This window comes from Homo sapiens, chromosome 3 (assembly GCF_000001405.40).
Source record: "Homo sapiens chromosome 3, GRCh38.p14 Primary Assembly".
NCBI classification, from domain to species: domain Eukaryota; kingdom Metazoa; phylum Chordata; class Mammalia; order Primates; family Hominidae; genus Homo; species Homo sapiens.
In genome coordinates this window covers 60,969,086-60,991,526 of record NC_000003.12, presented here as the reverse complement: position 1 = coordinate 60,991,526, position 22,441 = coordinate 60,969,086, and the positions used below count along the sequence as shown (strand labels likewise).

At 39.2% G+C, this 22,441-nt stretch overlaps 1 protein-coding gene and 2 long non-coding RNA genes across 10 annotated transcripts in view; 1 reads left to right on the top strand and 2 right to left on the bottom strand.

Moving 5' to 3' along the window:
• Nucleotides 1–22,441, top strand: part of FHIT (fragile histidine triad diadenosine triphosphatase) — a 1,504,176-nt gene that overhangs the window by 259,926 nt on the left and 1,221,809 nt on the right. The window lies entirely within an intron of this gene.
• LOC105377111 (uncharacterized) lies at nt 894–2,273 on the bottom strand. The gene is made up of 2 exons (XR_940884.1): nt 2,235–2,273; nt 894–1,471 (listed from the first exon to the last, which is right to left on the bottom strand). It is a non-coding gene; the product is annotated as an uncharacterized LOC105377111 (long non-coding RNA).
• LOC124906244 (uncharacterized) lies at nt 2,316–13,262 on the bottom strand. Its single transcript, XR_007095938.1, has 3 exons — nt 13,119–13,262; nt 12,916–13,034; nt 2,316–2,343 (listed from the first exon to the last, which is right to left on the bottom strand). It is a non-coding gene; the product is annotated as an uncharacterized LOC124906244 (long non-coding RNA).

The following is a 22,441-nucleotide window of genomic DNA, read 5'->3' as shown; positions in this document are numbered from 1 at the left end:
GCTATCTTTGAGTGGAACACAATTTTGTCCATTTTCTTCCCCCATGACGCCCAGACAGCTGTAATTTTTAAAATATCAAATAGAATCTATCATTTCCGAGATTTGAACCTTCGGTGGCTGTCCTTGTCATTAATATAAAATACTAAGTCTTCATTAGGCCTGCAAGGCCCCACCTGATCTGCTCCTGCCCCCACTCCCTGACCTCATCCCGCATCCACTGGGCCCTCCTCAATGCCCTCGGGTCATTGAACTTCATCTGTTCTTGAACAAGCCCGGCTTGTCCCCGGCACTGGGCCTTTGCATTTGCCATTCCTTCTGCCAGGAATGCTCCTCTCCAGATCTTTTTATGGCTGATTCCTTCTTGTAATTCAACTTGTTGCTTAAATGTCACCTTCCTAGAGAGTCCCTCTCTGACCGCCCCTCCACCCCCGTCCCCATTAGGAAGGACCTGTCTCTCTATCACGTTGACTTACTTTATTTTTTTCCCAACACTTACTACTACCAAACTTATTTTGTTCATTTGGAATATTAATAATTGTCTGTTTTCCCTCATTGTCATATTCACTCTAGAAAAGTACCTGGCGCTTAGTAGGTACTCAAACGGGTATTGCCTGAATAAACAAAGGAATGGAAAAATGTATGTTTTCAAAGGTCTGTGTAACTCTATAAGACATTTCCTTATATATTTTATAAAGGAAGAAAGTTTTATTTTAAAAATGTGACTTTACATGCTGTGGGAGGTCCAAATTTCATATAATAAAATGAAGGCAGGAGGGGAGCTGGGCACATTATTAATTTTATGTGTGGAAGATGCTCGCAATCGCGGGAATTGACTTCTGGCAATGAAGCAATTTCCCAAATGTCAGAACTAATCATATGATCCTGGAAAGTGGTTCTCTTCTTGTTGTCATTGTTTATTGTTTGTTTATTGCTTATTATAAAAATACTAGAATGGGGACACTGTTTCCTGTCCAGCCCTGGAGCATAGCATGTGACACAAATCATAACAATTAACACATATTTTTATATTGGAGTTTAAAAATAAGAAATGTCACAAGGAAAGCATATATAGATGCTCTTTTATCATCGCCACCCCATTCTAACATGACAAGCCCAGGAATCATTAACGATCCTTTGTTCTGCTCAATGCGTGGGGTTGACATGGATATCTTTAGTAACGAGCTGCTCCTTATCTTATCATAAATAACAAGCTGCCACTTTGGCATTTGGAGGCTGCAGACCAATTTCTGTAATATCGCATTCGCCACTCTCTTAGCTGCTGTTGGATTTGGTAGGAAGTTTTTAATTTAAATATCTTTGGTCCTCGGATGTAGACTTAAATTTCCTGGTCCCCAGGCAAACTTTGTCAAAGGGACTTGCAACCCATTGCTCTTAGAATCTTGCATGCCAGGCACCCTTGGGCGTACATAAGGGTTGTGGGTGTGATGGGCGGGGCTGGGACTGTTGTACCCTGTGGAGCAAAGAAAAGCAGTGTTAGGAGAAATCTAACAGTGCAGTTGAGGCTAGGAGTGGTAAAGGATTGTGTTTCTTTGCTAGCCTAGGCAGAATTTCTTATTACCCCACATCAAATTGCGTCCCTTGCCTCTGATTCAAGCCTGCACATTCATCTCTTCCTTCCACCTCAGGCTTTTATTGATGCTTCCACCTCCAGGCAGTGCACAGATGCAAACTTCTGTTTACCGTCTCTGAGTAATGATATTACTTCCACTGCCCAGGGATAATGCATTGCTTATTAAACACTGTAGCAATAACCATTAGATGGTAAATCAAAGGGAAACATAAAAGAGTCAAAAGCACTGCTAACCCCTTTAGCAAAAAATGATCAGAATTTAACAGAAGTAGAGTTTTCCTGGTTAACAGTGGGGAGGGATTAACAGCCTCACTGCTGACTTGCTGTGTGAACTTCAAAGATTTACTAACCTTTCTAACTTCAGTTGACAACGTTGATAAGCAGAATAATAATTGTGCCTACCTCCTAGAGTTGTTGTGAAGGTTAAATGAAAGATATACATTGAATCCTAAGCAAAGTGTCTTATATGTAGCAAGAGCTTAATTAAAGTTTCCGTAATATGATATCTTAAAAGACTTTCAGAGGCTGAGGTGGGAGGATCACTTGAGGCCAGGAGTTCAGGACCAGACTGAGCAACAAAGCAAGACCCCTGTCTCTCCAAAAAAAAAAGAAAAAAAATTTAGCCAAGTGTGGTGGTACACACCTGTGGTCTCAGATACTTGAGAGGCTGCGACAGGAGAATCACTTGATCCAAGGAGGCTGAGGCTGCAGTGAACCGTGATCACTCCTATGGCACTTCAGCAAGACTCTGCCTAAAAAATAAATACATAAATAAATAATGTCTTAGAAGAACTGTGTTGTCATCTTCATGGGGGTATGCTGTCCATGAACTTAGCAACAAACCTAGGAAAGATACCTTAAAATACAAATGCTTCCTTCCAACACTATAGGTGTATCCATAAACCAAAGACTTCAGTAGAAAAACCTGTCCTGTCTCTACTCAGTTACCAAATTATCTTGTTTTTTTTTTTTTTTTTTTTTTTTTTTTTAACAAAGCCATGGCCATTTGAAAAAAAAAAAAAAGCCTTTTAACAAGTATCGTTTAGAATCATGGTTATATTCTACACAGTGCATTGAATTTAAGGTTCTCAAGGCTGTCTTCCATATACTCAGTTCTATAAAGAGCAGCCTCCTCTCTAGAAAGTTGTTTAAAACTAGGAGACTTGAGATGCAAAATGCTGAGAGATTCAGCTCAAACAAATATATCACCTCTTGCCCTTTACCTTGTCAAGGCTGAACAGTCTTGAACAGGCCTCCAGGTTCCCAGCCCATGCCCTGCTACTCTCCTTTTATGTATCATGCCGATCAAATGCTGGAAGATTCTTTCCCCTTCTGTGCTGCTCGTCAGCTCTCATTTGCCCTTAAAATCTCAGCTGGAATATGGTCTCCTCTGGACAGCCTCTTGTTTCCTCAGATATGCTCCATATTTGGTTCTATGTTCACATTGCTCTTGGAAATCCTTCATTTTATTCTGTCCTGTGATTATGTAGTAATTATTCATAATTATTAAATATCCATCCTGTCCACTAGATTGATGGCTCCATCACGTAGGGATTCTTTTGTTCATCACAGTATTGCACAGCCCTTGGCACATGGTAGGTACCCTATCACACAAATGGGGCAAGTGCTAAAACTTATTCTTTATAAGAATTTATTTTCATGTGGCATATAACTAAATGGTTAAAATATTACATTACATTTTTTCTCTTATGTTGTAGCAATTGTCATCTGCTATATTTAGTTTGCCTTTGTACCATTGAAATGATCATGTGCTGGTTTTGTAGGTTAAGATTTAATAGCATCTCAACCAACAAACATCTGATTTTTAAAGCAGTAACTGTTTAATATACTGGTTTGATAGTACAAGGTGACATTCCCTCTCTCTCTAAGAAGCCTTCAGTCTTCAAAGCACATCATACAATTTCATAAATTAATCCTGGGAATAAGCGTCATAGTAAAGATATTGATTTTAGAATCCGGATGGAAAAGAAGGCAGAGCCTAATGTTTGAATTCTAAGTTGCAATCAGATATAGTAAATCACCAAGAACAAAGGACAGATACCTCAACACCTAGAATCAGGAAGATGGAAGAGAATTTTATGGACTCAATTTCAATCTCCCTTGTCTCTTCAAAGAATCATACCTCCTAGAAAGCCTTTGGTCCTTGTCTGATTGTTTCTAAGCTAAACTGGGGACTTACTGATTTGGCTCTATAAAATGATTTTAGCTTGCCAAGACCAGCTTGGTCAGGGAGACCCTAACCCAGCAGTGCTAGAGGAATTAAAGACACACACACAGAAATATAGAGGTGTGAAGTGGGAAATCAGGGGTCTCACAGCCTTCAGAGCTGAGAGCCCCAAACAGAGATTTATCCACATATTTATTAACAGCAAACCAGTCATTAGCATTGTTTCTATAGATACTAAATTAACTAAAAGTATCTCTTATGGGCCGAATTAAAGGAATAGGTTGGGCTAGTTAACTGCAGCAGGAGTATGTCCTTAAGGCACAGATTGCTCATGCTATTGTTCATGGCTTAAGAATGCCTTTAAGTGATTTTCCACCCTGGGCAGGCCAGGTGTTCCTTGCCCTCATTCCCTAAACCCACAACCTTCCAGCTTGGGTGTTAGGGCCATTATGAACATGTTACAGTGCTGCAGAGATTTTGTTTATGGCCAGTTTTGGGGCCAGTTTATGGCCAGATTTTGGGGGGCCTGCTCCCAACATTAGCTTTATGCTCTTGCTTAGGATTTTGCACTAGCTCTGAGATGCCTATTATATCATGTTTTAAGTTCTGCCTGCTTTTCAAGGCAATTTGATGTTAGACCCCACTTCAACTTGACTGACTTAATTCCAACTGCTCACATATGGTCTCATCTCTCTAACATTTTACTGCAAATGTAATATGAGGTACAAGTGACATAGTTTCATCCTGGCAACAAGATGATGAATAAGACCCATCCCTTCCCTCAAGGAGCTTATGGTCTACTGAATGAACCAAGCAATGTAGACTTATAAAGTGTATGTATGCTACATGTAAAGCACTATGGGAGATATTTTTTAAATGGACAAGACAAGAATGGTAAGAATTAATGAGTAAGTGCCCACAGAGAACTCAGAACGTTGCCAAGCACATATCAGTGGGGGAATAACTGTCAGCGGCTATTCCTATGATGCTGGTGAAATTTCTGGCTTGAGTTCTTGAGTGTGTGGTGAAGCTATCTCTGACATCCAGAGCCCATGAGGTAGAACTCAGGATAGGCTGGCCAGCTACACAAATTTGGTTTGAGAAAAATGAGAAATAACTGGGGGGCATCAAAATGGCGATAGTTGTCAGCAATAGAGAAATTTGAAATTTGGGAGCATAATTAGGTAGAAAGATTTACTGTTGGCAGTAAGGAATCCAGATAATCCTATTAACCAATACCTCTCCACTTTGGGGTTTTATCTTCACAGTTTTCTTTTCTATCAGCATTTCAGACTGTTTACCTATTCCTCCAGTTTAACTGAAAGATGTATTTACCAGTATTCAGAAAGGAGAATGTACATAGAATTAAAGCAATTTTTAAAAAGGCCAAGATCTATTCCAGCCTCTGCAACCTCTTAATCTAGTGGGAGGCAGACAGACTAAAGAATAAAATACTAGGCTGGCTTTGATAGTGATAGTAATTCATTGGTTTTCAAAGTGTGGACCCTGGACTATCAGGATCAGCATCACTTGGTGTGGTAGACTGAATAATGACCCCTCAAAGTTGTCCACATCCTAATCCTCAGGTGAAAGGACTCAGGCCTAAGTTACCTCTTATGGCAAAAGGGACTTCACAGATATGATCAAGTTAAGGGGGTTGAGAATGAGAGATTATTCTACATTATCTCAGTAGGCCTAATATAACCACAAGGGTCGTTATAAGGGGGAGACAGGAGGTAAGCGTTAGTAGTAGGAGTTCTGAGGACAGCAGTAAGAGGTTGGAGTGATGCAAGAGAAGGGCCATGAGCCAAGGAATGCAGGCAACCTCTAGAAGCTGAGAGAACCAAAAAAATGGATTCTACCCTGGAGCCTCCAGAAGGAACAGCCCTGTCAACACCTTGACCTGTTTTGGGCTTCTGACCACCAGAACTGTAAGAAGATAAATTTATGTTGTTTTAAGCCACTAAGTTTGTGGTAATTTGTTACAGCAACAGGAGGAAGCTAACGCACCTGGGAATTTATTTGAAATGCAAAATCTCAGGCCATAATTTACATTTATCCAATCAGAAACTCTGGGGGTGGAACCAATCTGTGGTTTAGCAAGTCTTCCAGGTAATTATTATGCTCACTGTATTTTGAGGGCTGCTGTTAGAATTCAGAGAAGGAATTGTACCCGTCTGTACATGAGATAGAGTATAATGTTCTGCCATAGGTCACATGCTTGTTTTTTTCAACCAATCACTGTATGTTTGTCACAGAGCTTCTCCTGTGGCCATAGGCAGTGGGGCATTATGATTGACCACAGAACCCATGAAATTTCAGGGAGTTTCTCAAAGGAAAGAAAATATTATTACCAGAAGGAGGATCGGATAGCTTGCTGGAGAGACAAAACAAAGGCTGACCACTGTAAGTATATTACTTTAGTGGTCAGATAGGGAAGGAAAGACATTCCAGCATGAAGGAAGAGTTTGTGCAAGGGTCCAGAAGTAAAAAAACACAGAACGTATTCAAACACAGAACACATTCAAAATGGCAAAAATGATTATAGCAACAGTATGGCATCAAGAAGGTGTGGGAGGAGGTGAAGAGTAGTGGGAAATAAGCTTGGAGGTCCTTCAATGCCATACTCATGAGCTTGGATTACGTTCTGTAGTGATGGGGGCACATACAGTGGTTTCTGAGCAGAGAGTAATATGAGGAATGTGGGCTTTAGAAGGCAAACTCTAGATTCTCACCATTGCCTGAATATCAGGCCCCCTTAGTACTAATCTCTGCCATCCTGTATGCATACTGAATGTTGATTCTGCATGACTCCAGGGATTCTCTATACGTAAATTTTTATCATTATGTGTTTGAATGATGGTTTTCACCTTTGGAAAACTTAGGCTTTCAAACTGTTAGATCACCTACAGAAAGAAATACATGTATATGCACACACACACACACACACACACACACACACCCCTTCATGAAACTATACCCTTTATTATTATTTGAGATATGTTCTACTATATTCAATTCTATTGTAGCTTTTAAAATTTCTCGTTACAATTTCCTAAGTTGATGTCAAGACCCACTATTGGGTTCTATCCTTTAGTTTGGAACTTACTACTCTAAGGGAAAGGGGCAGTGTTTTATTCACTTCTGCATCTATCAGTTCTTAGCACAGTTCTCTGCCTATGTTAGATCACCACTAAGGCTTAAATATCAGATCCAGTGAAGTTTTAGCCAGAGCTGCGAACATTCTTGGTACCATATGATAGCACATTTCACTTGCCAAGTATTGGATGACAGATTATTAAGACACATATACAAAGCTCTGAACATTTGGGTGGGTGTATTGGTAGGTGGGGGTGGAATGAAGGGTCAGTAGAAATGATGATGCATCTTCTCTGTAATTAATGTCAAAGCTTAAGAAGAACATTAGCAGATCAATTCCTTATAACACCACAATGAAACATTTTCCCCTGATCAGAACTGCTTTAAATGAAATAAACTTTGCTCTGTGAATTAGGCAGGTATCATTTTGGGATATGAAACCCACAAAACTGTCATCAAATACAGAATGATGAGAGCTGTGATGCTAGGTTGTACATAGAATTCCAGTTCTGGAAAAGCTGTCATTTGAATGGCATTCTCTTTTCCTGCAATATCAAGAAGATCCACAGACGCTGATTTCTGGGCTATGGAGCTGGGTTAGATGGAAGATGCTCTGGAAGGGCTTCCCTTTGGTGGATTTTTCACTTTCTGAAATTCATCATTTTCATTAGCTTTATACTGTTTTTGTCTTTATCATTTCAGGTGTGAATTACAATTTTTTTTATCTTATGCTGTCATCATTTGCATTACTGTTGTGATGTAGTGGCTGATTACAGCTCTGTATGAAGAAGTGTTTTGAGGCTGTACTTGGGCTCAGCCAGACAAAGTACAAAGTACAAAGATGTCTGCCATGAGTGCAAGCTTCAGGAGTGGTGAGCCTATATGTCCCATGCTTGCCATCCTCAAACACTACATTTGGACAGTCATCACCTTCCTACCCATCAGTACGAGACTTAGTTTAGGCCATCCTCCAGATCTGTATGCTTGCCTGGTTTGTGCTGCTCTCATGGTTACAGAGCCAGGTCACTAATGCTGCTGACATTGTTGCTGCCAAGGGCCAAAGGCTGTTACAGTGACTGCTCCCATTCTCTCAAGTCAGCCTGTCATCTCCCCCAGGGCTCCCATGTTGCCACTGAGGCCTGTGATGCACTAGATGGCTCAGCTCCCACGTATGTGCAACCTGGAATTCATCTCCTTCTTACCCTGACTTATTGTCCAAAGGAGCTGTCATTCACACAGCCTGCCTCAGAAGATGGGTCCTGGAGATCTGACATCAGTTGTGCTGAGTAACAGTGGCAGCCAGCTCAGAAATATACCCTTGTATCTATCTGCTTGTTCTCCGTCCCTTCCTCATTTCCTTCTTCTCTCCCTCTTCCTTCCCTGGATGGCACATTCCAATAAATTAGGATTATGTAAGATTTTGCCTCAGGCTGTGCTTTCTGAGGACTCTGGGCTAAGCCAACATCTTAGTAAGTGTGTGCATTACACACACACACACACACACACACACACAAGAGAGAAGGTAAATCGGATTGAGATAAAAGGAGCCATCAGAGGTTACTTAGTTAAATATCTGTCCAAGAAGGCAAGGAGTCCTTGAAAAGAAGCTTATATGTACTTTCAGGGGAGTTGGGGAGACTGAGTCAATCATGGTGTTTTTTGTCCAACCCTGCCCCAGAGAGTTGGTCTGACCTCCACAGAAAGAGGACCCTTTAAGTAAAAGCCAAATGGAAATAGACCATGAGATGAGAGATTAGTAAGATTCATCCACTTCCTCACTGTAAAAATTTAAATAGTGATGGAAGCTCTTGAAGGATCCCTGAGTCAAAATGATGTTCTAGTACTGGAATTCAATGGTAATACTTATAAAGATTAAAGTCTCATGGAAGGGAAAGACAATAAGCAGTGAATAGCCAAAGAAAGAAAATAATGGCAGTTTATCACAGGATACAAGTGATACGAAGGAAATGAAGAGTTGCAACAGAGAATAACAGAGTGAGACAGGGAGAGTCCCCATTGAGATCTGTTAGTCAGGGAAGGCCTTTCTGTACAAACGGGGAGGAGGGAGAGCATTCTGAGCAGAAAGGACAACAAATGGAAGGCCCTGAAGTGGAAAAGATGTGTTCGAAGAAATGAAAGCAGACCAGGCTGATTATATTTATGAAGCATTTACTATTGACTGGCAATATTCCTAGCACTGTATACGTTGTATCTCACTTTATTTCTAATAATCCAGTGAGATATGTAACTTTCCATGTGTAGGAACTGAAGTGCAGGGAAGCTAAGAAGCTGGCCCAAAGCTCCACAGTTCACATGGTAAACAGAAGACCCAGAATTCTGACCCAGGCTTCTCATGGGAAGCAGTGGACTTTGAGTTTATAACCTTCACTGGACAGTCTCCTGTAGAGCAAGGCTGGGGCCAAGTCCTGGAAGGCCCCGTAGGCCAGGGCCAAGGGCTTTGACTTTATTCTGAGTGTAGCAGGGAAAGCACTGAAGGGTTTTAAGTCTAGGAAGACATGATCCATTTAGTCTTTTTACAAGATCCCTCTTGCTGCTTTGTGCAGAATGAACTGGAAGGGCAAGAGTGGAAGCAGGACATTAGGAGGCTGTGGTAGAGGCCCAGGTAAGAGGTGATGGTAATTAATAAGCAACCAACAGGGTATCTGCCGAGATGGAGTGAAGGGGAGGACTCGAGGGATGTTTTGTAGGTAAAATTGACACGTCTTTCTTATGGATTAGAAGTGGAGGGTGAGGGCTGAGCACAATGGCTTTCATCCCAGCATTTTGGGAGGCCAAGGTGGGAGAATCACTTGAGTCCAGGAGTTTGAGACCAGCCTGGGTAACATGGCAAGACCCCATCTCTTAAAAAAAAAATAGCCAGACATGGTGGTGTACACCTGTAGTCCCAGCTACTCAGGAGACTGAGAAGGGAGGCTCACCAGAGCCCAGGAGTTTGAAGCTACAGTGTGCTATGATCATATCACTGTACTCCAGTACTGGCAACAGAGCAAGACCCTGTCTCAAAAAAGGAAAGAAGTGGCTGGGCACCGTGGCTTACGCCTGTAATCCTAGCACTTTGGGAGGCCGAGGCGGGTGGATTGCCTGAGCTCAGGAGTTCGAGACCAGCCTGGGCAACACAGTGAAACCCCATCTCTACGAAAATATATTTTAAAAAAATTAGCTGGTAGTGGTGGCGTGCACCTGTAGTCCCAGCTACTCGGGAGGCTGAGGCAGGAGAATTGCTTGAACCTGGGAGGTGGAGATTGCAGTGAGCTAAGATCACGCTACTGCACTCCAGCCTGGGTGACAGAGTGAGACTCTGTCAAAAAAAAAAAAGAAAAAAAAAAAAAAAAGGAAGGAAGAAAGGGGAGAAGGAGAAAAGGCCTGGTCAGAGATGTTGCCTTGGGACCTTAGCAAACTTTCACTTTTATTCAACCCAGGCAGTAGAGGGTGACAGTGTTGGGCAGAAGGGTATTATCTGCATTTCTGCATGGAACATCCCAGCATGGCTTTCATGCCAGAAGTACTGGGGCAGCCAGGGCTGCTGCTGCCTTGCAGAGCCCTTGGCTATGACCCCCTGGGAAAGGAAACACCCTTCTCCAGGAGGACACTAGAGACAGGGTCCATGGCTAGGCATTGTCCTCAAGAGGGAGGCCCTCAGCAGAGAGGAAGAGCAGGGTACCATGGGAGATTGTGTGAGTGAGAGCACGCAGGGAATTGCTAAAATAGGGGGGCTGTGAGGTGTTAATGTGACCTCATTTGTATCTAAACAGGTATTTGTAGTATGCTTAAATTTATGTCATTTTTTTTACTATTGGCAACTGCTCAGAAAGGTTGAAATTCAGAATTAAAAGGAGTCATGAAGTCAGGAAAAGTGCTAGGCTACCAGGTGGCTACAGTTTATATTGAGGCACACACATTTAGATTTCTCCCATTTTCCTGTGTCATGCTGACTTCACCTAGAGAAAGAAAAGCATCCAGTGTAAATGTCCCCATTCCCCCATCTTTTCCTGAGATGGACCCAATAAATGAGTGGGAGTGGTCTGAGACCTGCTGGGCATACATTTCTGGAACCGACATCTGGGAGTTATGAGTAGGCAGAGAGGAGATTTTCATTTTCTGTGATAACTTCCCACAGTAAGTAGGTGGGAGGGTGAGGTGATTGATGAGCTAAATTAGATAGAAAGTGGCTCACATCAGATTCTAGGTGATTGCTCCTGCCTCTCAACTCACTGTACTTATTTTCCATTCCACTCATTTAGCAAATGATCATGGTCTGTCTTGTGACATTCCTTATATTGTTGCTTCATTCTTTACATTTTTTGTGGTGTTTTTCCCCTCTTCTTTCTTCAGCTACGTCAGTTACTCCTTAGGGACAGAAAAGATGTTGTGTTTATTTTTTTTATCCTTCTTATGCTTTATACAGAGTAAATGCACAATGATTCCCTGTTGTTTGACTGATAGTTGCTGTTGGAGATGGAATGTTTTCTAAAGAATGTTGCTGAATTTATCTTGTCTTAGAAATGTGGAAAGTAGGGATAAGGAAGACGCTCAGTGCATTTCAGTTTAAAATATGCAGCTTTTGAGTAGATGAATTTGAGATAACTCTGTTCTGGTCAGCATAGCTCAGCCACAGAAATGGTTTAGTTTTTCATAGCAGTGAAACTTCCTTTCTCTAAACAGCAGATGAGGTTGAATCACATGAAATTGCCAGTATTGGAGCAACAACATGGCAATATCATGTGGCTCAATCTAATAAGACAGATGAGCTGACAATAATTTATTCCTTTGACTAAGTCCGAGATGGAAATGAGCTAATGGGAAGGAGGCCCCTCTTCTGCTGTCACAGCTTGCAGGAGAGAGAACAGCGGAATGCAGATCCTGGGACAGAGGGGGTGATGGCAGGGGCAGCAATCCCTGAATGAGCAATGATTCTTGTCATGAGTTGGCACTTCTGTGGTTGGCACATCCTTCCTGCTCTGATGCTGCCCTGAGACCCTTTAGTGTCATCTAAACAGAAGTCATGACGGGCCCAGAAGGGTCAGGCATGATCCATAGGAGTTATAACACCCATCCGCTGCCAGCCCTGTCTGCCCTGGAGAACTGCCAGAGGAGGTAGGACATGGCAGCTAATGTCACTACTTCACAATTTTCTTCTATTTCCCTCTTTGTCTCTACTACACCCAATAAAGTAGCTCCTCCTCCTTTTTCCCTCTTTATTAAACCCTGAGTTTTGAGCGCTTTGTTCAGTCTGCTGATGTGGGAAGGTTGGAGAAGGCTGGCATTAACTGTTTTTTCTTTAATTCCTCTGGTTAACTCTGAAGTATCTTCTTGATTCCTTTAGAGAAACTGAGATTCCCCAGCTGGATCACATGGGAATGAAGGGACACTTTTGCCTTATTTACTATGGGAGCAAAGGGAGCCCAATTTCAGATTGGAGGAGAGAGACTGGGAAGAGGGGAGCTTGAGAAGAAGGGAAATCTGTTGTTGGAAACAGGAGCCAGAGAAGTCCAGAAGAGCAAGCCTAAGAACTGAATTAATTGAGGGCAAGTAAATCATCAGATGTATTTTCATCATTTGATACAGCAAGAAATATTTTCAAATTTTCCTCATTTGATATAGCAAGAAATATTTTCAAAAACCCAATCTGTTCTGGATTTTGTCATTACTGAAAGCATGATCAGAGAATGAATTTCTGGAGTCAGAAAAGTATTCGAAATGGGAAGACATGCTTGGCTTAATGTGGTTACAACTCTACACAACCCATAGCTGTAGATCTAAGGAAGAGCCAAAGTCATGGTATTAAGAAAAATAAAGATGTATTTAAACATTGTTGCACCCTACCTTCCTTTTTATTACCTGTAGATAGAACGGTTGTGCTTTAGGCTCTTTAGTCATTCATTTCATAATGAATGTGAACCTACCTGATGATGCACATGATCTCATTTGTTCCTTGTAGCTGCCCTGAGAGTTAAAAAATGGCATACCCAGTTTATAGATGGAGAAAATGAATTTAAGAGGGATTCAAAAAACTCACCTGTGACCACACAGATTGCAAATCAGTTGCAGAGTTGGAATTCCAACCCAAGTTTGTTTGATTCTAGAACCAGTGCTTTTCAGACTATGTCATGCTTTATTTCTCTTTACTGCAGGCCCCTGAAAAAAGGAGAAGTAGTCAAGTGAAATACCTGTAAAGAAAAAGGCCCAGGATAGGCCACTGCCCCAGGCTCAAAGACTAACCCTGAGGCTTGGGTTTCCCTAAGAGTAGAAGTGCAGAATCTGAGGCTCCACCCCATAATCGGAAACGGCATTTTAACAAGATCACCAACTGAAGCAGAATTTGAGGCCCCACTCTAGAATCAGAATCCACATTTTAACAAGACTCCCAAGAAATCTGTAGCCACGTTAAAGTTCTAGAAGCACTACCCTAACCACCCCAAAGCTGCTTCTGTCTACTTCCTTCATCTTGGGTTCTTTAAGGACCTGGCTCAAGGAAAGTACATGGTTGATGATTGCCCAGGTGTTAACTGACAAGACAATCATAAACAACAGGAGTCAGGTGTATTTTTTCTCTTTTCCTTTGACACCGCCTCTTCTCTTTCCACTCTTTTTCACTTGCCTGTATGACAATGAAGTGAGAAAAGAATGAAAGAAAGAGCATAAAATTAAGGAATAGGAATTTCTGACAAGGGTTTTCTGTGCCAGCATCATGCCTCCTTCCAAAATTGTGCTAAGCAACATGGTTAGCAATGACTCTGTCTTTTTGTTTTTGTTTTTGAGATGGAGTTTCGCTCTCGTTGTCCAGGCTGGAGTGCAATGGCGAGATCTCGGCTCACTGCAACCTCTACCTCCTGGGTTCAAGTGATTCTCCTGCCCCAGCCTCCTGAGTAGCTGGGATTACAGGCATGCGCCACCACACCTGGCTAATTTTGTATTTTTAGTAGAGATGGGGTTTCTCTATGTTGGTCAGCCTGGTCTCGAACTCCCGACCTCAGGTGATTTGCCCATCTCAGCCTCCCAAAGTGCTGGGATTACAGGCGTGAACCACCGCACCCAGCCACAATGATTCTAACAGAGCATGCCAGCATCCCCCACTGCTCAGCACACACTTTTCTGAATTATTACAGCATCTGCAATTGTTTGGAAAACTGAGCACATTTGCTTGTTTGTTCAATCCAGACAATAGCTGTGTAGGTTTTATTTGTATTTCACACACACTCATACACTCAAGTTTCTTAAGGGTGGCTGAGCAGAAGTATGATACATTTCAACTTTTAAGGACAAATTTGAGGAAACCGCCATTGACTGAACACCAGGGTTCAGAGTGGCTCATTTTGGTCAGAATGCTGAACTTGCCACCGGTAATGCTGACTGCTCTTCACCACCCAGGTTCACTCTCAGCTCTGAGAACTATTTGCTTCCGCTTCCAGCAACAGTGAAAATTAGCTTACACAATTTTCGCTCCCTCATTTTTTACCCCGTGTGTGATTATGAATGATCTGTGAAGCAGAAAGAAGACAAAAGAATTGTATAAGCTGGGTCTACCCTGTGGTCTCAACAGTAATTCAGTAAATGTGACATGGGTGTCAACAGGAAACTCATACACCCATCATCAGACCGTCATGTTGATGATGAAAAACAAGTCCGATTTCTTTCCTACAGGGCTTACTTTCCAACCTGCCAATATGTAAATTCTTCAGCAGGAGTTAATAAAGGAAATCCTTTAATAGAAATTCAGGTCCCTTTTTAAAAATAAAAAAAAAAAAACAAGTATTCAGAGCACTGGAATTTTCAGTTAATAGTGGATCTGGAGAGGAAACATTTCTTTGCTGTCCCTGCCTCCATGGTAAAAGAAAATATTGAGGAAGGAAGAAATGAGATTCAAACTTTAAGATAATTTGGAGAGCCAAATGATATTATATACACAGGTGTGGAATGAGGAATATTTTGTTTCATGTGTCACATCTTTCATTCATCAAATCACTGTCCTTCTCAAGGGTTCATTAAGAAAACATGTTCTTCACAGAAACAGTGATGAAACAACAGTTGATACCACCAGGTAAAACAAAACAGATAATGGGACTACCTCTTTGTCTCATTAGAATATCACCCTGTGACATTATGTTTCATTCCTTTTTATAGAGACATGGTTTTTCGTTTGTTTGTTTTAAAGATAGTGTCGTCTTTGGATCTGGATTTGAGGTGGTGAGCTTGCATTGGGTTGTTTCAAAGTATGTTCTGAGGCCGGGTGTGGTGGCTCACGCCTGGAATCTGAGCACTTTGGGAGGCCGAGGTGGGCAGATCACCTGAGGTCAGGAGTGCAAGATTAGCCTGGCCAACGTGGTAAAACCCTGTCTCTACTAAAAATACAAAAATTAGCCAGGCATGATAGCATGTGCCTGTAATTCCAGCTACTTGGGAGGCTGAGGCAAAAGAATCACTTGAACCCAGGAGGTAGAGGTTGCAGTGAGCCAAGATCCCACCACTGCACTCCAGCTTGGGCAACAGAGTGAAACTCCGTCTCAAAAAAAAAAAAAAAAAAAAAAAAAAAAGAAAAAGAAAAACGAAAGATACAAAGTATGTTTGGAGGTGTTATCCTGAAGAAAGCATCTTGCTTCAAATGCTTTATGAAAATATTTAGTGAAGTTAATAAACGGTCTAAGAATTTCCACTGTGTAGAAAGAGTTGATTTGATTTCATTTCAGAACAGTCTTAATCTGAAATTGGCATTGGTAATGATTTGAATATGTGTAATTCTCTTAGCCTAAGATGTGGAATATATGTCAAATTATATGTTTTATATCAACTTGTAAGCTACTGGTGAGTTGTGAGACAATTTAGGGATTGCTTTTAGTGAAATTATATAGAATAGAAAATATGAGAGTTCATTTAATTTGGTAAGAGTTTTGTAAATGTATATGCATACACAGTCATATTACAGATAGATATAGAAATACTTTTCACTGTGGGTCATATTCAAAAAAGGTTTGAAAACTCCTGCCTTGATGAATTTTGACATGGTCAAAACATGGTATCAGCCATGATTGGCACACTAAAAATTTTACTCTACATAACCAACAAGCTTGTCATTGTTCTTTTGATTTCTCATTTGTTTGGGGATTTTGAAATGGCTATACTTCTTTTGTAATCTTTCTCTCTTTAGTCTGTTCCTCCTGGAGACAGTGATTAGTTGTGAATGAGGGAAATAAAGCCATACTTCAAGTTCAGCATACATTAACTGGGCATATTTTCAGAGGAGAAAATATTTCATATATCCTTTAAAATTAATAATTCTGACATGTGCCTGCCTCATGGCTTTTCAGTTACCATGACTCACCTTAATTTCACCTTAATGCCACTGTCTGACATTAGATGCCTCTCCAGAGAGTAAGAAAATCATTCAGAAATTAGGTGCATAAAGGTTATTAAACTAATATTTAAAGTTCTGGCCCTGCACATTTTACTTTCCTCCTAATTAAATGCCATGAGTAGAAATGTATGATCCTCAGTATGTGCACCTGCTTGAATTCGTGTCCACTTGAAGGACAATAAAGATGCTGAGGAATTCTCATTTTATTTGCAGCCTTTCTCCTGGGAATATTACTTACAGCTACCATCAGTAACCATAACTTAAGCCAAAGCCGAAGACAGAATTTTAAAAACATGAAACACATAGAGATTTCCTTCTTTTTTGGAAACTTCTGTAACTTACTTCATCCCCAAATAACTAAGCTCTGTGAGGAATAGGTGAAAAATGCCAATAATACTCTAACTTTGGAACTTCAAGAATGGGGCTATGTTATTTGATATTATTGATAAATTTCAGGCCTCATGTCTTGGGCATCCTGTAAATGTAGGTGGGAAAGTAAAACATTATCAGTGGACTGGAATAAATCTTATCACCACAAAAACATGTTCCTAATGCTACTGCGTCTTTTCAGTTTTGTTCTTAAACCTGAGGGTTAATCACTCTTGTTGACAGACTTGGTTGCTGCTACACACTTTTTTGGTATAGCTATATTAGTAAGAACTCTTGGTTCCAGGTCTGAAACCCAGTCCTAATAAACTGGCTTAGGCAACAAAGGGCATTTATTGATTCATGTAACTGAGAAGTTTTAAGTAGTTTTGGCTTCAGTCTTAGGCAGGTCTTCATTACGTGGTGATAACCACATTGAATCTTTCATTCTATCCCTTTACCAACCAGCAGCAATTCTCTTTCCAGTAGTGTTCATAAAATCCAAGTACTGAGTCTCAATGGAATAATGTAGATCACATGCTCATTTCTGAACCAATAACTCTGGCCAATGGGATGAACAGGGACTGACCAGACCTGAGTCACATTCTTATATTTATATTCTAAAGGCAGGAGGAGGAGAAGGTTCTCTAAAGAAAAAAGATAGTGGCTATTACAAAGCAAAGGTTTTATGTAAATTTTGTATGAGGAAAAATGGGAAATGTTACTGCAGAGGTTTTCTACTGGCTATTTCAAATAACTTGATATCATTAATTTTTAAAAAGTGGTAATATTAACTAATGTCCACCTGAGTTATCAATTTAACAAATATGTAGTGAGCCAGGCATAGACATTAATGTCTCTGAGCCTATGAATTGTGTGCATGATTTTGAACAAGCGTCTGTAATATTTTATTAAATGATTTTCATCACCCTGGATAATAAACAGGTGATTTGACTTAGCAGAATGCAGGTGCTATTTTTAATACTTAGTGCTCTCTGGAGGCCTTCCAAATAATAATATCATCTTTAAAAGCTTTGGATTCCCCAAGGAGCAATAAAATTGTGCTGAGTATTGTCTGTGATAAATAACACATCTCCCTTCTCCACTCTTCCATACTCCTACTTGAGAAAGCTTCAGATTTCCTGACATTATCTGAGGGTTGATTGCCTAGTGAAGGTCAATACTTCTTTGTTTTCCATTACTACATGTTTCTTTGTGATCATACCAAAATGATGAGAATGTGACCAGCTTTTAAAATATTAAAAATCAGGGAAAATAAAAGCATGAATACATCAACAAGGAGCGTAACTTAAGATTTTAGTTTCTAAAGTGGAAATAGCTTAAATTCTTTCCTGACCAGTGGAGTTCAGGGCTACCAACAAAGGACTGGAGGAAACAAGATCCCAGAGGAAAGGAGCCACAGAGATGTAAGTTCAACATACTGCATGGAATTTTCCCTTGAGGCCTTTTTGTACACTCCCAGGGAGAGACAACAAAATATAAAGCTGAAAATATCTGATACAGGAGTAAATGGCAAAGCAGATATTGTAGCAGTCTCAGTGTCTCACAGAGTTCAGGGCTTTCAAAGAAGTAGGACCATGGAAATACTCAAGGTCCTTGAGGCCCCTGAAGAACTACAACCTAGGGTAAGAGCAAACTGGAAATATACCAGCCTCAACTGGATTAAGATGATTTTCCTGTACTCTATCTGCCTGCCAGAAGAAAATCAAATCATCTTTGGAGAAAGATAACATCATTCAAAACTTGTACAATTTCCATAAAAAGTGTATCTGTCATTCACTAGAAAGTAGTAGGCATGCCAGGAAACAAGAACAAATGGCCAATAATCAAGACAGAAAACCAACCAAAAGTAACAGATCCAAAAGTGACTGAGAAATTGGAGCTATAAGATCTATAGCTATAATCTGTTTCAGATAAGAGATTAATATGTTCAAGAAGAGACAGAGAATTTCACCAGAGATCTAGATCCTATGAAAGGAATCAAATGTACAACATGAAAGTTAAAATTACAGTAAGTGTAATTTAAAACTAAGTAGATAGGTTTAATAATAGAGTTGACACAACAGAAGAGAGGATTCATGATCTGGAAAATAGATCAAGGGAAAATATCCAGATTAAAGCAGAGTGGAAAAGAGAATGCAAAAATAAAGAAAATTTTATAAGAGACATATTGGTTAGTGTAAAGGTCTGTGTCAGGCAATTGGAGGCCCAAGAGGAGATTTCAGGGAAGATGGGGCATAAGTATTATTTGAAGAATAGCAGTAAAGAATTTTCCAAAATTAATGAATAACATCAAGCCATGGATTCAAGAAACTGTGTAAGAAAAAAAAAAAGCCAAATAAAATATGGAGGCATATTGTAGTAAAACTGCTTAAAAATTGAAGACAAATAAATGCATCTTAAAAGCATCCAAAGGAAAAAAGATATATTTTCAAAGGCACACCAATGAGACATAAAGCTAATTTTTAAACCAAAACAATGGAACCAAGAAAACAATGGGATGCCATGGTTAAAGTGCCAAAAGAAAGTAATTGCCAATTCAGAATTTTATACCTACCGAACACATCCTTCAAAAAGGACATTTTTAGAAAATTAAAACTAAGATAATTAATTATCAGCATATCTATATCAAAACTATTAAAAGGAGCTCCTCAGTCAGAGGAAATAGTCCCAGTTGAAATCATGTAAATGAAGGAGGGCATGAAGAACACCAAAAAGTATAAATATATAAGTAAGTGTCTATGAATATGGATTGTTTAAAACAATCAAAGTAATGTTTAGTGGAGTGTAAGTCCTATAACTAAAGATAGAACAATTTAAGCACTCATTGACAGTAACTGCAGCAGATGCAAATTCATCAAATATTTTATATCCATGAGTTCATAACATTAAGAATAATTATAACCGATTGGTTACCATGGAAAGATGTTAGTGAACCAATTTGTTGTTTTGAAAAATGGTATACAAATGTAAAAAATCAAGCATTTGTTCCACATCTCTTGTATGACTAAGTAAACATAGATGGGGGAATTTTCTCTTGATAATAGGATTCCTGCTAATAAATGTTTTAAAAGTGTAATATTCTTATTTTTTTATTTTAATGAATTAACGGATCCAGGCCCTGAATATTTATGGGAAAAGAGAAAAGAACATAAACCACTAGCCATGAGGTAATCTTACCAAAAACAAAACAAATGAACTTGAATCTGCATGCCTCTAGATCTAACTGCAAACAAACAGAAATTACAGCTAGGAAGCATTTTATTTAATACAATACCCATGGGGGAAAAAACATCAGAGCGTGGAAAACTTCAGTTCCAACAAGCCCCTTTCTCCAATGCATAGATAGCAAGGGGGCAAAAAAAAAAAGATTGAGGGAGAATCAATAGGTTAAATTAAGCTTAAAGGACAAATAAACCAATCACAGTATGCAGAATTTATTTGGCTCTTGATTTCAAAATACCTATAAAAATGGTTATCACATTTGAGACATTTGGAAATTTGAGTATTTCCAGAGTATTTGATGGTATTATGCATTATTTATTTATTGAGACAGAGTCTCACTCTTGTCACCCAGGCTGCTCACTGAAACCTCCCGGGTTCAAGTGATTCTCCTGCCTCAGACTCCTGAGTAGCTGGGACTACAGGCACACACCACCATGCTCGGCTAACTTTTGTACTTTTTTAGTAGAGATAGGGTTTTACCATGTTGGACAGACTGGTCTTGAACTCCTGACCTCAAGTGATCCACCTGCCTTGACCTCCCAAAGTGCTGGGATTACAGGTGTAAGCCACTGCGCCTGGCCCATTATCATTATTTTTTCGTATGTGTGATAATGACATCATAGTTATATATTATAAAAAGCATACTCATCTTTTGGATATACATACAGAAATAGTCATAAGAAATGTAATATGATGTTTGGAATTTGTTTTAAAATAATATATTTGGAGAGAAAATGGATGGGGATAGAGATGGAACAAGATTGGTCATGAGCTAATGATTGCTAAAGCAGGATGATAAATATGAACGTTTCATTAGATTATTAAGTCTATTTTTGTATATGTTGGGAATTATCCATAATAAAAAGCTTGAAAAATAAAATATTTGTGGAATTAAAATAAAGGCAACAAACAATAACAGGTAGAATGAGAGTGGATTAAATGAAGTTAAAATAATGTGAAATCCTTATCCAGACAGGATAAAAGTATCAATTATGGTAGATTCTAATAAGTCAAGAAATCATATTTTCATTTCCAGGGTAACCACTTAAAGAATGTACAGTTACCAAGCTGATAGAGGGGGAAAATGGATAATATAAAATATATTTGATTAATTGAAGACAAAAAGAGAATTTAGGAACAGAAAACTGTGAGACAAATAAAGAATATATTAAGATAGTGATAAGAATATAAATATAACCTTAATTATATTAATACAAAACACTAAATACTTCTATTTAAAAACAGATTATTAGACTGGATTATTAAAACAAGACAACTATAAGCTAACTATGTGAGGTACAGTCTAAATATAAATCCATATAAAGATTCAAAGTTGTAAAAAGAGAAACATTGTGCAAACACACAGTATTCCAAAAGAAGCAGACATAGCTATATGTATAGGTACATATAGCATGGTCTCAAAATATTTGAAAGCAAATAACAGCACTGAAAAAGAGAAATATACAAATCTTCAGCCTTAGTTGGGATTTTACCATACCTCTTCAGGTAGTTAATAGAATATGAAGACAAAATGTCAGTAAACGGCTGGGCCTGGTAGCTCACACCTGTAATCCCAACACTTTGGGAGGCCGAGGCAGGCAGATCGCTTCAGTGTAGGAGTTTAAGACCAGCCTGGAAAACATGGCGAAACCCCATCTCTACAAAACCAAAAAATTCAGAAGGCTGAGGTGGGAGGATCACTTGAGCCTGGGAGGCAGAGGTTGCAGTGAGCTGTGATCATGCCACTGCACTCCAGCCTGGGCAATAGAGGGAGACCCTGTCTGAAAACAAAACAAACAAAAAAGTCAGTAAACATATAGAAGATTCAAACACCACTTGTAACAAACTTAATCTTATGTATAGAACACTGCAACAACCAAATAAGCATATACATTTTTAAAGATTTAGTAAATATAATATATACCTAGACATAAGCACTTCTGAACAAATGTCAAAGGCTTTAAACCATAGAGTTTATCTTCTGTTCACAGTAGTATTAAGGTGGAAATCAGTAATAAAATGATAATGATAGAATTCCAATATTTGGAAATTAGGTAATATTTTCTTCCCTATGTTTCAAAGAAAGTAATCACAACAAAAATTAAAAATATTTCTGATAATGAAGATATAACATATCAAGCTTTGATGTTGCAGCTAAAGCAGTTTTTATATGGAAATTTATAGCCTTAAATTCTTAGAAAAGAAGAAAGCCTGAAAATTAGTAATCTAGTAATCAGTATCAAGAATCTAAAAAAGAAACAGAATAAATGCAAAGAAAGTAGAAGAAAATAAAGATAAGAGCAGAAATTATTGAAATAATAATCAGAAATAAAAAAGCACTAAAAAAGATATTAGTAAGATTTTATGCCAGTAAATTTGAACATTTAAATGAAATGGTTAAATTCCTTAAAAATACAACTAAATTTGATATATTTTTAGGGAATCTGAATTATCCTATATCTATTACAGAAATTAGCTTCATAATTAGAAATCTTCCCACAAAAAAGAGCCCATTTAAATTTACCAGCAAATTCTTCCAAACATTTAAGGAAGAAGCAATATCAGTTATATGTAAACTCAC